The sequence below is a fragment of the Homo sapiens genome, chromosome 2, assembly GCF_000001405.40.
Source record: "Homo sapiens chromosome 2, GRCh38.p14 Primary Assembly".
NCBI lineage: Eukaryota > Metazoa > Chordata > Mammalia > Primates > Hominidae > Homo > Homo sapiens.
In genome coordinates, this window is record NC_000002.12 from 100207630 (window position 1) to 100223289 (window position 15660).

The 15660-nt window shown below is 44.8% G+C and overlaps 1 long non-coding RNA gene across 1 annotated transcript in view; it reads left to right on the plus strand.

Moving 5' to 3' along the window:
• The first annotated feature begins 624 nt into the window (after positions 1–624).
• Positions 625–15660, plus strand: part of LINC01104 (long intergenic non-protein coding RNA 1104) — a 43231-nt gene continuing 28195 nt past the window's right edge. The window contains exon 1 of the long non-coding RNA NR_103730.1: positions 625–1191. This is a non-coding gene — a long non-coding RNA (long intergenic non-protein coding RNA 1104). The remainder of the gene's footprint in view (positions 1192–15660) is intronic.

Consider the following 15660-nt stretch of genomic DNA (forward strand, 5'->3'; position numbering starts at 1 on the left):
GATAAGTACATCGTTGCCTTGGCACCATCTGCCCTGGAGGACCAGGAGATGTTTGGAATGCCAGTTGTTGTGTCTGTTAGTTTGTATTTTAAAAGCACATGCCACAAACTGCCTATTCAGAGACCGGATTTGCTATGACTGTGAGATGCTGTGCCTTGATATGCTGACATTCTCCCATGTCATCTCTCTGCCTCTGGGAGCAAATGTCCTCCAGCCCTACAGACACATGCAGGGCCTCGGAAGACGTATCTCTTTACTGCCACTCCGGCCACGCACATGTCTGATAAGAAGCAGTATTATAGTGAATAGCCAGAGTCAATATTAAGTATTGGATAAGAATGAAAGTAGTTTGGGAATAATTATAACCACCTCCCCTACCCCAAAAAATATGCTGTTCAAAAGTCAGTCTGGAGACACAGATAACAACCCTATTTTTATACCAACCCGACTGAATTCTTAATACATGGCAAAAAAGAAGATCATGGCTTAACATAAAGCAGGAGATGTAATAAATAATGAACTGCACTAACAGCTTAGCATCATAAGGAGACAGATGGAAAACTTCTCTCCCGAGATCACTGCTTCCAGAATTAGAGAAAGGGCTTCTGGACGTGTTCAGGGTGGATAGTTCAAGCCTGAATTTCAATGAGATGGGAACACTTTTTAGTATAAACGCAAGATTTTCATGTCTCCCTTTTAGGAAAAATAGGGATTATGGCGTTCATCTGTTTCATCCAGAACTAGAAGCAAAACCCTAAACCTCAGACTCTTCCAGCATGTCTGATCCAATCAAACAAGGGAAGATGCTGCGGGTGCTTTGTATGCTAAGGAAGTGCTACGATGCCATCGTCTGTCCAGGAAAAGAAAGGAACACCCATCCATGTGGTTAAGCCATCAGAAAACTGGAGCATTGGGAATAAAGGAATTATTTCCACGAGACAAGCACGCCAGCCATTGGCTCATAATGAGCTGAAAGACCAATGACTGCTTCTCAGAGACTCCCTAGGGCCCAGTGTCCTGGGGGCAGACCTGTGGCTGAGTCAGCATGGTGCACAGCAGAAAGTGGGGGGAGAGTGGCCAGCGCTGCCCCGGCGGGCTCTGTCTGCATCACCTGGAGCGGCACAGACCCTTCAGTCTCCATTCTCTCTTCAGGAAAGAGGCCTACTCGCAGATGAACGCACCAAGGCTCAGGTAATCTCAGGAAGCTCATTTACTCACACAGTCCTGGCCCATCGGGCTCTCTGGAGGCCCTTCTTCCTTGGCTGTCACCTATTTCTAAACTGATATGTAATAGTTGTACATATTTATGGACTATATGTAATATTTTGATACATGCATGCAATGCGTATTAAGTCAGGGTAATTGGGATATCCAAGACCTCAAACATGTATCACTTCTTTGTGTCGGGAACATTCCAAATCTTCTCTTCTAGCTATTTTGAAATATACAATATGTCATTGTTAACTGTAGTCACCCTACTGTGCTATCGAACCCTAGAACATATTCCTTCTATCTAACTGTATGTTTGTATTCATTAACCAACCTCTCTTCATCCCCTTCTACCCTCTACCCTTCCAGCCCCTAATAACTATCATTCTACTCTCTACCTCCATGAGGTCAACTTTTTCTAGCTTGCACATATGAGTGACAACATGCTATATTTGTCTTTCTGTGCCTGGCTTATTTCAATTACCATAATTACCTTCAGTTCCATCTATGCCGCTGCAAATGACAGGATTTCATTCTTTTTTTTGTGGCTGAATAGTACTCCACTGTATATACATACTGCATTTCCTTTATTCATTCAACTATTGATGAACACAGGTTGATTCCATATCTTGGCTATTGTGAGCAGTGTTACAAAGAACGTGGAAGTGCAGGTATCTCTTCAACATACTGATTGCCTTTTCTTTGGATATCTACCCAGCAGAGGGATTACTGAATCATATGGTAGTTCTATTTTTAGGTTTCTGAGGAACCTTTATACTGTTATCCACAGTGGGTGCGCAAATGTTCATTCCATCCATCAACAGTGCGCAAACATTGCCCGTTCTTCACATCTTCACCAGCATCTGTTATTTTTTTGTCTTTTGATAGCAGCCATTTTAATGGAGGTGAGATGATATCTCATTGTGGTTTTGATTTGCATTTCCCTAATGATTAGTGATGTTGAGCATTTTTTCATATGCCTGTTGGCCACTTGTATATCTTCTTTTGAGGAATGTCTTTTCAGGTCATTTGCTCATTTTAAAATCTGATTATTTTTATTATTTTTTTGCTATTGAGTTGTTTCAGTTCCTTACATATTCTGGTGATTAACCCCTTGTAGGATGGGTAATTTGCAAATATTTTCTCCCATTCCGTGAGTTGTTGCTTCACTCTCTTGACTGCTTCCTTTGCTGTGCAGAAGATTTTTAGCTTGATGTTACCCCCTTTGTCTATCGTTGCTTTTGTTGCCTATGCTTTTGCAATCTTACTCAAAAAATCTTTGCTCAGACCAAGTCTTCAAGAGCAAAATTTGCATAATATCTGATTAGGGTCTGGGGACCATTCAGAGCAAGTCCCCTGGGGCACCTGAGCCAATACGTGATCTAAACCTTCACCACAATCATGAGCCATCACATCAAATAGACCATTTCTTCCAAAACCCAACTGACTTTTTACAGGAATTGTGCATTTAAAAATGTTGAAGTCATGCTTCCTTCTCTTGGGGACACTGCAAATAATGGGGTGCTCTAGTTTCACTAAAGTGCCTCAGATGAACTTTCCAACCCACAACCCTTAAACACAAATGAGTAGTAGCATGGACAGTCAAGTGCAAGCTCAAGTTCAAAATGCCAAAACACAGGATATCAGGCATAAGATTAATTTACCTCTTACTTGCAAGAAAAGGTAGGAAATGATAAAATCAAAGGTACATGTTTTCAAAACCAAAAGAAACAACAATACATACAAAATGTTAACAAAGAGATGATGATTGTGTCAGTTATTCCCAAGGTCAGGCTGGGGGAGAGTGTAGTTGGGAAGACATCAAAAATCAGAAATTGTGGATGCCTCAGTGTCTACTCCTTCCAACACAGTGGAATATAGACTGGTCTGAGAATGTGATGGTGTTCAGGACAATGGGTTTTCATGAGATTGGGGCAGAGCTTTTCTTTTTTCTTTTCTTTTCTTTTCTTTTGAGACGGAGTCTCACTCTGTTGCCCAGGCTGGAGTGCAATGGCACAACCTTGGCTCACTGCAACCTCCGCCTCCTGGGTTCAAGTGATTCTCATGCCTCAGCTTTCCAAGTAGCTGGGATTACAGGTGCCCACCACTATGCCCAGCTAACTTTTGTATTTTTAGTAGAGACAGGGTTTCACCATGCTGTCTAGGCTGGTCTTAAACTCCTGACCTCAGGCAATCTGCCTGCCTCAGCCTCCCAAAGTTCTGTGATTACAGGAGTGAGCTTGTTACTTAGAAAAATTTCAAACTCATAGAAAAACTACAGTAATTACTCCTATATATCCTTTATGTGGATTCACAAAATGTTCACATTTTGCCACATAGGCTCTCTCTCTCTCTCTGTGAACATATATAGTTTTATGTTATTTTATTTATTTTTTGCTGAGCCTTTTCAAAGTTGTCGTTATGATGATTCCCTACATACTTCAGGATGCATTTTCCATAAGTGAGGACATTCTGTTACAGAACACATTCACTCTCATTTTCCATTACTGCATTAAAGATTACCACAAACCTAACAGCTCAAGACAACACTCATTTATTATCCCTTAGTTTCAGTGGGATTATCCCGTAGCCTGGGTATGGCTTAGCTGGGTTCTTTGTATAGGGTTGCACAAGGCTGTAATCAAGGGTGGGTCAGGGTTAGGGTCTCATCTGAGGCTTGCCAGGGGAAGAATCTGCCTGTCTTGGCAGAGTTCAGTCCTTGCAGCTGTAGGACTGAGGGCTTCAGCTCCTTGTGGTATCTCTGCTGGAAGCTGCTTTCAGCTCCTAGAGGACACCCTCAGTGCCTCCCATCACAGATAACCCACAGCATGGAAGCTTGACTCTTCAAAACCAGCAAGAAAGTGAGAGACGCCAGCAGGAAGCGGCTACAATGTTACGTAACACAATCATGTAATGATGTGCACATAACTGCAGACCTCTAGTCACTTTTGCCATAATCTATTGGTTAGAAGAAAGTCATAGGTCTTGCCCCTTCTCAAGGGAAGGGTGTCACACAAGTCAAGAACACCAGATGGGCTAGGTGCAGTGGCTCATGCCTGTAATCCCAGCACTTTGGAAGGCCAAGGCTGGCAGATCACTTGAGGTCAGGAGTCTGAGACCAGCCTGGCAAACATGATGAAACCCCATCTATACTAAAAATACAAAAGTTAGCCGGGCGTGATGGTGGGTGCCTGTAATCCCAGCTACTTGGGAGGCTTGAGCCTGGGAGACGGAAGTTGCAGTGAGCCGACATTGCACCTCTGCACTCCAGGCTGGGTGACACAGCGAGATTCCATCTCAAAAAAGAACACCAGGTGGTGGGATCATGAGGACCACCTTAAGTATCTGCCATAGCATTATACAATGACCAAATTCAGGAATTCATGTTGATATTGTCCTTCTCAATGTATTAGTGCCTGATGTCAGCTTGTCCCATTGTTGGTGATATTAATTCTGATTATTTGGTGAAGGTTTCTTATCTGTTAAATTTACCAATTTTCCTTTTGTATTTATTGCCATAGCCTTCATCAAAGTTTCACCCCACCATTTTAGCAAAATTGCTGATTATTTGCCTGATTCAATTATTACCATGATGATTGCAAAATGCTGATAAAAAAAAAACTCCATCATTCTTTTTTAACTCCATTATTCAACATGTATTAGTTGGTGATTGACTGTAAGAAAGAGCTTTCCCTCTGCTGTATATCTGAGGGTATTTCCCTGTTCAGTAGGTCATCAGGCTGGGCTGCAAGATAGAATATAATGTGCATATGGCCGATGTTAAAAAGTAGATAAGTGTCCCCCGGGGAAGACACCAGACAGGATTTGAGGTCTTTGAGAACAGACAACATGCACACCTGGCTCGAGTGGCCCAGCGATGACTTGCAGCCAGGGGAGAGGCAGCGTGCACACAAGATCTAGCCCCTTGCATTGCGCTGGACCCCATGGCTGGTGGGTCCACACTCCACAGTGTGATCACACACAACCCACTTCATGGACCCCAACTCTTCCCCACGTAGGATCTGAAATGCAAAAAGCTGGGGATGTGTCTGACAGCCATCAGATCACACACTGAAGCAGAACACAGGAGTGCACATGGAATTTGTAACAGGGAACGATATCCCCTCCCAGGTGATAAGCCCAGCACAGGCTATGCAGGCTCTTTATCTTCCCATAAGAAAATGTTCCAGGCCCAAGGCCCATCTTCCACAGCTGAGAGTGATGCACAGACCACACGTGACTGCTTTCCCAGTGGTGGCTATGTATTTATGCAGGCATGGACTTGAGGAATCTTATTATTTTAATGGCTTAAAATATATTACTGGCAGGACTTGTTTAGATGCTCTAAATTGTCCCATGTTTGGTCAGTGGGAGCCCTTTCAAGCTGGCTTCTGTCTCCTGAGTCCTTTGAACATGTCCCCAGCATTCTTTGAGTACTTCCTTACTTTCTGGCATTACAAGATGATCCAGGTCAATCTTGTTCTTTCCTGTCCCAGTCCTGGAATCAGCCATTTCTCTAAGCAGCCCAGATTTCTTGTGTATGGAAATGGCATTTAGAGACCAAGATCAGTGTGCACGGGAGAGTTTCAAACAAAGACATGGGTGATAGAATTGGGAGAGGACACTGCCGTGGGTGGGACATTGGATGCCAGCTGTACTGTAGATTCTTGAGAGGCTGAGAGTTAACTGTCAGCAAAGTTTTCTTGAATGCCCCCAAGTGTTTAGAACCACATTAAACCTTTAATGCGTCCCCTTTTCATGCCTGGTTGATTGATTCATTTATTCGTTGACTGTACTTATTGCTTGATAATAGAGCCAAAGTTAGTTTATTAGATGTAATTTCATGGACTATTGCAATAGGTGCAATAAAGTGCATGAGCAGCTTGGAGGTCATCCAGGCCACACCTCCATTTGGCTAATGAGGCCTCTTGGACCTCAGCAGGGGGAAATGCCATCTCCAGGTCACACACTTGGCCGACAGCAGAGCCAGGTCTGGACACCAGCCCACCCGGCTCACTCTGGCACCTCTCATCAGTACAGCCTATAATGAGATGCCAGAAAGAATCCTCTCCTTTTAAGAGCAGAAAAGGTCCCATAAGCCTCACCATGACTTGTCTACTGTGGCTTAGCATGGGAGCCATGCATTCTGACCAAGCCCACTGCAGCCAGCATTCCTAGCCTGAGGCTCATGGGCTGTCACTAAAATCCAAACTGGAGGCTGCCAGTAGGCAGGCCTTCAGTTAACAGAGTCACCCTCAACCATGGGCTCTCTGGAGTTCTGAGGCCAGCCAATCCACCAGGCTTTCTCCACCACTGACCATCTGCAGGCCCCTAAATTCTAGAGGCTGTGGTGATTCTGGGAGTCTCAAGGTCCCCATTTCCACCCTGAAGTTCTCTGTGTCTATTTCACTGTGAGAGTAAGCAATGGTACTCCTCATTCATTCAAAATAAATAAAATGTTCTAAAAAGCTAGTGTCGCAAGCGTAGCTGTGGTTCACTGAGGCCTTAATCCATGCCTAATCTCTTGCATACTTCCTCTCTGGTCATTGCAACCACCATGCAAGGAAGCTATAATTATCTCCTCATTTTTCAGATGAAAAACCTGGGCCAAAAGAGACAAACAACCTTGTGTAAAGTCAGGGTAAGGGTGTGGAAGTGTGAGTTGGCAGCTGAACCCTGATCCATGGACTCTGAGCAGGTACCTCCCCTCTGCAAGGATGAAAGGACATTTAAGGCCAACAGGCTGAGTGGAGGTGGCTGGACACTGATTATTCTGCTCCCCACCACTGGGGTTGGCCTGCGTTCCCAGGATTGCGGTGGCCCCTTGGCTCTTCCCCTACCCCATCCCATCCCTGGGCTTCTCTCTCTCACTCTCTGCCAGCCCCAGGCGGGCTCCTCGTGGCCCCAGGCTCTCTTCTGCCAGCAGCAACTCCTGCACTGGCTTCCTGCCTCCCTAAAAGGACTTAGTTCCAGCTCTGTTTTTAAATCCCAGAAAATGTTCTGGCAGGGCCAGCCCATAAACGTCCTTCTTTTGGCTGGAGCCACACTAGAGGTTTCCCCTTGCAGTCCTTGGCACGTTGCCTGGGGGCTGCTGTGCAAGGGTGGGCCTTGGCGGTAGAGGTTTTCCTGGCCCCCTTCCTAGGAAGCACTTATGGGACAGTACCTACAGATGGAGACGAACAGTTGGTCAGGGCTCAGACAAGTTTAACTTCCACTGTGGGATCAATATTCAAATAAAAACGTTTTAGTGACTCTGATAGGACTGATACTGGGGTTCCCAGTAGCCATGAAGAGGTTACAGAGTCAGACCTGGACTCCAATGCCAGTCCTACCCGCCACTGGCCATGGGACCTTGGGCACATTATCTAACCTGGCGAGGGGTGAAGTGCGTGTGACCCCCGTCTCAGGGGTTGATCTAGCCTAAAGCTAATGAAGCTTAAGGTTTTTGTATTTGTAATTTTGTATCCTTTGCTTGAGGGAGCACCTCAAATGGTATGAGCTGCAAAGACTTGGAGCTATTTCCACCCATTATCGAAGGCTATTTACCTGTTTTAAGGGACAACTGTTTTTTCTCTCTAAGGAAGAAGTGAAATGGTGACTTTGATAGCTTTGTGACCACAGAACCCAAGGAATAGACCCAGAAGTCTCTGGAAGGGAAACATCACTGTCACATAGCCCTCCAGGCCTTGGTCCAAACTCCTCCCCTTCCCCCACCAGTCTGGGTCTCCTGAGCCATGCACGTGAAAGTGCTTGGAAATGGCCAAGTGCTGTTCAGATGTCGGAGTAAGTAAGTGCTGTTTTCAGGTCACGTTCCTCTAGCGCAGCAGATCCCACCTGGCTACACGCTGGAATAAGCAAGAGACTTCCAGAAACACAAATGCCTGGGCTGTACCCCAGAGAGATTCCATCAGAGTCACAGGGAGCAGGACTCATGTCTTGGCACCTTGTTTAGGTTGCTCAGAGGATGCCACTGTGTGGCCGAGGTTGAGAGCCTCTGCTCTCGAAAGCCATCCTGGGCCTTCCAGATCATGTGCTTCTGCAGTAATAATTCTGGAGTATTTATCTTTGCTGCTCATTTGGTGCTTAGCCTTGTCTCCTTGTCCTGTCATTTGCTGTTTCTCCTTCACTGACTAGGCAGTGAGGACCCTCACAGCCTCTTCCCTGCCATTGCCCCAGCTCTGGGCATTTATTTAATTCTGCCTAAAACTGCGAGCAGGAGGATGTATCTGACTGTTTACTGTGCACTCAGGCATTTCCAGTCCCGCTGGATAGGTGCTTCAGCCCGTCTTATGTGCTAGGAGACTCCGTCTCATCTAAGCCCTACAAGAAACCTGCAAAGGAAGGAGTTTAGTGGCTCTATTTTACAGATGAGGAAGGTGAGGCTCAGAAAGGTCAAGTAGCTTGCCCAGGCCACAGGGCTACCCAGTGCTGGAGCTCTGTGTGCAAAGCCTCATGCCTCTCTCTGCAGCATGCTGCCCTAGCTATGGTCTTGTCGAAGCAAGGACTGACCAGAGAGAAAGTGTGTTTGGGTGCAAAGCTGGAAGCCAGCTCAAATGGTAATTAAGAAAACTGTAAAGCTGAGATTTGAGTTTTTTTGCTGCAGAATTTCATGATATGATTCATGCTCATTTTGTGTGGCCAGGGTTAGCTCTGAATGATTAGGTCAGCTATAAAATGTGGGTGCTTTCCTGAGTTCCTGCCGAAATAAATTAATAATAAAATGACCTATAAATATTTAATAGCCGATTAGAGGTTTTTCTCTTTTTTTGGATGAGTATCAACATCCTTGGATAATTGCACTTGAAAGTTGCAAATAATCTCTGACCCTTGTATTTTTCGATATAACCTATGTAAATTACCTCTCCAGAAAAATCTGTTTGGAGTAACAGACCTTGCAGGAAACGTGAATAGCAAAACCATTCAAACCTGGAGGTCACTTCACTCTGAGAGGTGAGGACAGCGTGCTGGACCAAGAAGAGGTGGCAGTGGGTGCTGATATTCCCTCAAATGACAGTTGCTTCTGTGAAAGATACAGCTCCCCAGTGCCCCCAGCCCTCTTCCTTTACGCCCAGAAGACCGTCAGCCAAATTCCACAGTGACCTCAGATGACTCAGAACTTTCGCAGCCAGGAATGATGGTTCATGCCTGTAATCCCAGCACTTTGGGAGGCCGAGGCAGGTGGATTGCTTGAGGCCAGGAGTTCAAGACCAGCCTGGACAACATGGTGAAACCCTGTCTCCACCAAAAATACAAAGATCAGCCAGTCTCATAACCCAGTCTCAAGAAAATAAATAAGTAAAAATTTAAAAGTAAAATTAAAATATTAACCAAGAAGAACCGACCTGCCTTGTAGCTATGCTGGAGTCAAGACCACAAGGATTTCCTTCTAAGGCAGCTGCTCTCCCTTAGTGGTTGGGTGAATGGTCCTGGAGCTTGCTAAAAATGCAGGTCAGTGGGGCTGGCCAAGGCAGCGCTCAGGAATCTGTCATATTAGTTAGCAGTCCAGACCCCCTTGAGGTTGTGAATACAGACTTAGCATCACAGCCTCAGGACACCTCAGTGGTCATCCAGTCCAACCTCTTCCTTTTTGTCTGATCCGCAATCCCATCTCCGCTGTTGGAGTTCCTCTGGGCTCTCAGGATCAACACTGGAGAAGGAGGTGGGATTGGGAGGGTGAGAAGTTGGGCTGTGATGCCCAGCGAAGGCCTCAGCCAACCTCGCAGGAAGCTCTGGAGCCGGGATGGTCCCTCAGATGTGTCCACGCCAGCTCTGCCCCAAGAGCTGCTCACAAGTGTTAGACACATTCACTTTGAGAGCTGGGTCTTGGTCCCATTGGTGAAAGGTAAACCAGGTGTAGTGAACTAAGGTCTTCTTTAGGAATTGGTGTTAGAAAAGCCCATTCCCCGTGGCCAGGGCTTCAGCAGCCCTGCTGGGATGCAGAGTCCTTACTGCGGTCGTCTATCAGCCTTAGCACAAGGTCTTGACCAGTATCTCTCTAACATCCTTATATTCCAGGCTTTCCTAAGCAGAATAGTGTCCTTAAGGGATCCTCCAGTCATTATATCAGCAAGCACAAATATCCTTGTTGAGTTCAACAGTTCATCAGTTGATGAAGAAATTGAGGTCAGGGAAAAGAAGTTGCATGGTCAAGGTCACTTCACACGCTTGTTCTTTTTCAGGCCTTGGAAGTATGACTCTTTTAAGGTGTATGTTTCAAAGCATCCCCAGATGTCTCAATACAAATACGATGACACACCTCCCTTTGTTTCCCAGAAAGGCTTTTCTCTAACTGGAGTGTTTTAATAGAAGCAGGCAAGAAACCCCAATATCATAGAAAAACTAATTAGCAAGAGTGGAGGTGATCCTTCAATCCCATCTGTTGTCCCCAGTGCCAGAGTCCTAAACAGGGTGGGGCACCCCAGGTTTTGTGTCAGGGCTACAAGATACAGAAGGTGCAAAGATTCCAAATCTCATTGTTAATGCAACTGATTGAACAATGTGCAGTTCCTGCCTCAGCAGCACCCCCAACTCAATGCACACCTCATCAGACTCAAGGCAGGCCTGCTCCTGGTCCCCCAGCTAGCCAGAGGAGAAGGACAGAGGGGTGACCAAGGCCTCCTGTGATCTGGGGGTGCCGTTCATGTTTGCTCATGAGGGTTGAAGGTTTCTTTTCTATCAAAGTGCCCTGCCTTGGAGACCCCATGCTTGTCCTGCTTTACCTTCCAAGGTCTCTGATTCTCAGAGAGGAGATCTGAGGCTGGCATGCTCTTCCTTCCTCTCTTTTCCCATTCATCTCCACTGCACCCCACCTACTGCATCAAAAACAACCACTTGCTCAGCCACCACAACCCTGTGTAGCAGAAAGATGTACAATTCTGACTCTTTCAGCTTCAACGTCAACTGAGCCCTTTGGTACGCAATGACCTACATACTGTTTAATATGGAAATAGAAGAATGTTTATCTTAAAAAAAATCTCTGACCCACTTTCAGGCCACCAACACAGGTACTCTTGGGTAAGGCAGATTCCTGTTGACTCCGAGCAGCACAAATGCTAATATCACTAGCATGTCTCCTAGGATTTAGAATAATTCAATCAAACCCCTCCTCCCTCCAGCAAAGGCCAGTTCTGAAACTCTCCTTAATTCATTTGTCAGAACCCAATCGCTGCATCAAGGGCCTGAATTAAAACAGCAAATTCTCAAACACAGGCTCATGGCATAGCAATTTACACATCCTCTATAGGGTGCAGTCTTTCGGGGCAAGAGATCAACTTAAGCATTCTAATGATGAATTTATAAAAGGAGTGCTTGTCACTCTTCTTCTCCTCAGTTTTCAGTCGATCTAAGAAACTCCTTGAAAATTATTTTTTAAACAATTGTTGTCTCATATTAAAGGGTATCAGCTGTGATTTAAAACCTCTATCTGGGGAAAAATAGACAAATTCCTTCCACATCAGGGTAGTTGAAAGAATCCATGATTTGGAATTTAGAGACCTGGGCTTAGGTCCTAGCTCTACTGTTTAATAGCAGGGTGGCCTTGGGTGATCATTATCTTTATGTTCTACTTTCTTTCCCTGAAAATGGGAATCACATTCATGTTTACTTCTATGAGCTACTTATAAAGACCAAATGAGATCATGCACAGGCATTATCAACTGAAAAGCTTTATCCAAGGATAAGGGATCTTCCTTTATTTTTGATTGACTATTAGAGGGGCCAAAGCCAACACTGAGAATCAAAAACTCTTCCTTTTCATCACCCTTTGCTTCCTAGATTATCTTTAGGTCCTCAGAGGTACCCAACCTCTCTCCATTTTCATCCATGTATAGCATGAAATGGGTATAACTTTATTCATTACCAAAGTGTAAATGTCTCTCGTGGGGACATTTTCTTAGTTACAGGAAACAAAACTTTGATCTGATTTGCTAAAGTTCTTTGAATGAGGGATTAGGGGACTCATTTGAGGCTGGGGAGGCATTTTGGTTTCCCCAAATTCAATTGCTAGGGAGCTGTTTGCTTGTGGATCCTTAAGGACAACCCTGTGGCAAAGGGATGTGGTCTGAAAGGAGCGGTTTCCCACAAGAACCCAGGGTAACTTGCATGGATCTGTGAACCTGCTGGGAGTAATCACATCACTATCTTTAATGGGGCCACTTGTAGTTGTAATCTTGACCAGAGGCTCCTCCCCTTAAAGCAGATGGCCCTCCCCACTGTGGGGGGGCCTCATCCAATCTGCTGAAGGCCTAAATAGAACAAAAGGCTGAGTAAGAGGGAATTCTCTCTCTCTCTCTCTCTCTTTTTTTTTTTTTTAAGACAGAGTCTTGCACTGTTGCACAGGCTGGAGTGCAGTGGCGCAACCTTGGCTCACTGCAACTTTTACCTCCTGGGTTCAAGTGATTTTCATGCCTCAGCCTCCCGAGTAGCTGAGATTACAGGCATACACCACCATGCCTGGCTAATGTTTGTATTTTCAGTAGAGACAGGGCTTCACCATGTTGGCCAATCTGGTCTCAAACTCCTGGCCTCAAGTGACCCACTTGCCTCAGCCTCCCAAAGTGCCTTGAATTACAGGTGCAAGGCACCATGCCCAGCAGAGAATTCTCTCTTCTGCCTCACTGTCTTTGAGCTGGGACATCTGGACTAAGACTCAAACTGGATCTATCCCATTAGCTTTCCTGGGTCTGGGCTTCTTGGCCTCCAGAACCACCTGAGTTAATTCCTTATAATAAATATCTTTTTACGTATACATACAGATGTATATATACACATCCTATTGACTCTGTTTCTCTGGAGAACACCAACTAATACAACACTACTTGATCATGGTTCATAATCCTTTTTACATGTTGCTGGATTCAGTTTGCTAGTATTTTGCAGAGAATTTTTGCATCTGTATTCATAAGAGATATTGGTCTGTAGCTTTTTTTCTTGTGATGTCTTTGTCTGGCCTTAGTATTAGGGTTATACTGGCCTCATAGTATGAGTTGGGAAGTGTTCCCTCCTTTCCTGTCTTTTGGAAAAGTGTTTAAAGAATTGGCATTCATTTTTCTTCAAATGTTCGGTAGAATTCACCAGTAAGAGTTTGGACTTGGATATTTCTCAGTGGGTAGCTTTTTGATTAATAACTCAATCTCTCTTCTTGTTATTAGTCTATTTAGATTTTTTCTATTTCTTCTTGACTGGGAAGCTCTTAAGAGAATCAAGTCACCTTTAAGAGTGAACACTGTTGGAGGTAAAAGTCAAAAACTCTATTGAGTTGATACCTGTGGCTCAGTCTTTTCTTCTTCTAAGCAACTAGATTGTGGTTGGGTCATCTAGAAACTTTTCTTGAGTGAGCTGAACTCCCTGAACCATTTGATCCAAAATATGAGCTTGTGAATTAGCAAAAGTGTGATGAAATTAAATTCCCATCATTTTGCAGCCCAACACAAAGTGCAACAGGTGTTAATTCAGATGCTGGTGGCACTTCTCTGAAGATGGAGATGGCTAGGTGATATTATGTGGCTTCTTGGAGATAGTCATCTTTCAGGAAAAGCATTAAACAATGTCCTTGTTTTCTGTCACTTTTGGATAGCTCAGAGGCCTCTAGAAAGTTGTCATCAACAATAAGCACCTTCCCCACCCCATTGCATCAGAGCCTTCCAGAGTTGTCACCATGGTCCCAGTTCCTTGTGAGTTATTTTCCACTCCAGCCTGGCTGCAAAGAAAGTTTCCACTTGCTTGACTTCCCAATCTCTTCCTATCTCTGTGAGGCATTTCATTGTTATTGCTAATCACCGCAAATGCACTGAGGGTGTCAAACTAATAAATATGGGGAAGTTGCAAGGATCAAGAAATCCAACCAAGTTCTCCCATTCTTGGACTATGGTTATTGACTTCTTTCCTGCCTGGAACGCAGAAACTCTTTGTTGTTGTTGTTGTTGTTGTTTTCTTGTTCTCCAAGTTAGTTCTCAAGGGAGGCCTTGTCAAACTTCCTCAATTATTTAGACTTTCCTTGTCTCAAAGTCCTATAGGTCTCTTCCCTGAGGGGGTCTGCAAAGGTAGAATGAGAACTGACAGTGAAGGGCCATGATGGCATCCCCCACTGACCACGCCCCCATAGCCTCTCACCTGGGTGACTGCAGGGATCACCTTGCAGCTCTCTCTGCTTGTTCTCTCACCTCCAACTTTATCCTCATCACACAGACCAGAGGAGAGCTCCACCTCTCCACCTGCTCCGGTTTCAGTGGTCTCCTTAAAAACACCAGGGACGCTCCTCCCTTCGCATTTGCTGTTCCTTCTGCCTGGAATACTCTTCCCTAGATATTCACAGGCTCACCCCTTTACTTTCTTCAGATATTTATATGTCACTTTCAAAGTGAGGCTGTCCATGACTACTCCATTTACAGCGTAATCCCCAACCCCAACCCCTAAAGCACTCTATCCTCTTACTTGCCTTGTATCTTACTTCTCAATTCTGTTATTGCCTCCTTCCCCATTAGACTGTAAGCTACATGAGGGCAGGAGCTTTGCTATTTGTTCACTGAAGGGATTGGAGGTTGAGTAAGAATGTCATTTACACCACCTGACAGCTCATCACTCAAGCAGCTGCCAGTGGTACCTAAAAACCTCATTAACTGCATAACAGAATCTCTCCTGGATCCAGTTTATGGGCTGAGTGAGGCCCAGGCCACCATGTTAGTTAAGCAGCTTGAAGAGAAAATGTACCTTCTTCTTTCCCCAAGCCGGAGTTTTATTACTCTCCTTTTTAAATGCATTATTCCTAGAAGATGCCTTAGCAAAGTTCAGACTTTCCTGAATCAAGTTAGTAAGAAGTTAACTAGGAGCTAATTAATAAGGCAGTTAGCTTTTCAACTTATCTCTCTTAGACTTTTAGCATTGTACATTTGTGCTTCTATAGGTCACTCATTGAAGCACATTGTACATTTGTGCTTCTATTGCTGTCACTCTTTTGTCTAAAGATGGGAATATGAAAGAAGCTATGTTCATGAAGAACATCGTAGTAGATCCTTTAAATTTTAGCCTCCTTTTTGTCCAGGGTTAGATTCCAGTGTGATCCATCATTCCTGTGCTTATCCCTTAGAATTTCTGGCCCTCTTTCCCTGCACTACACTTGCATGCAAATCCCCAATCATGATGAAACCCAACCCTCTTCACACCTGCAACTGAGCAGCTGAATGGGGCTGACTATAACCACACAGCCAGCCAGCAGGTCTGAATGAAAAATCCTGCCCACTTGTTTCAAGTGGTGCCTAAGCACTCCTGAACTCCCCTCATCCATTCACGTGCCCGCTCTGCTCTCCTTGACAGCTATTTTCACCCTCCTTGCCTCCAACCATCCTCTCAGCCAATGAACTTGCTTCTTATTCCAGTGAAAAGACAGAAGAAACCAGAAAAGAACTTCTGCAAGCTTCCACCAACAAATCTAGGAACTCACCTAAATCTAGACCT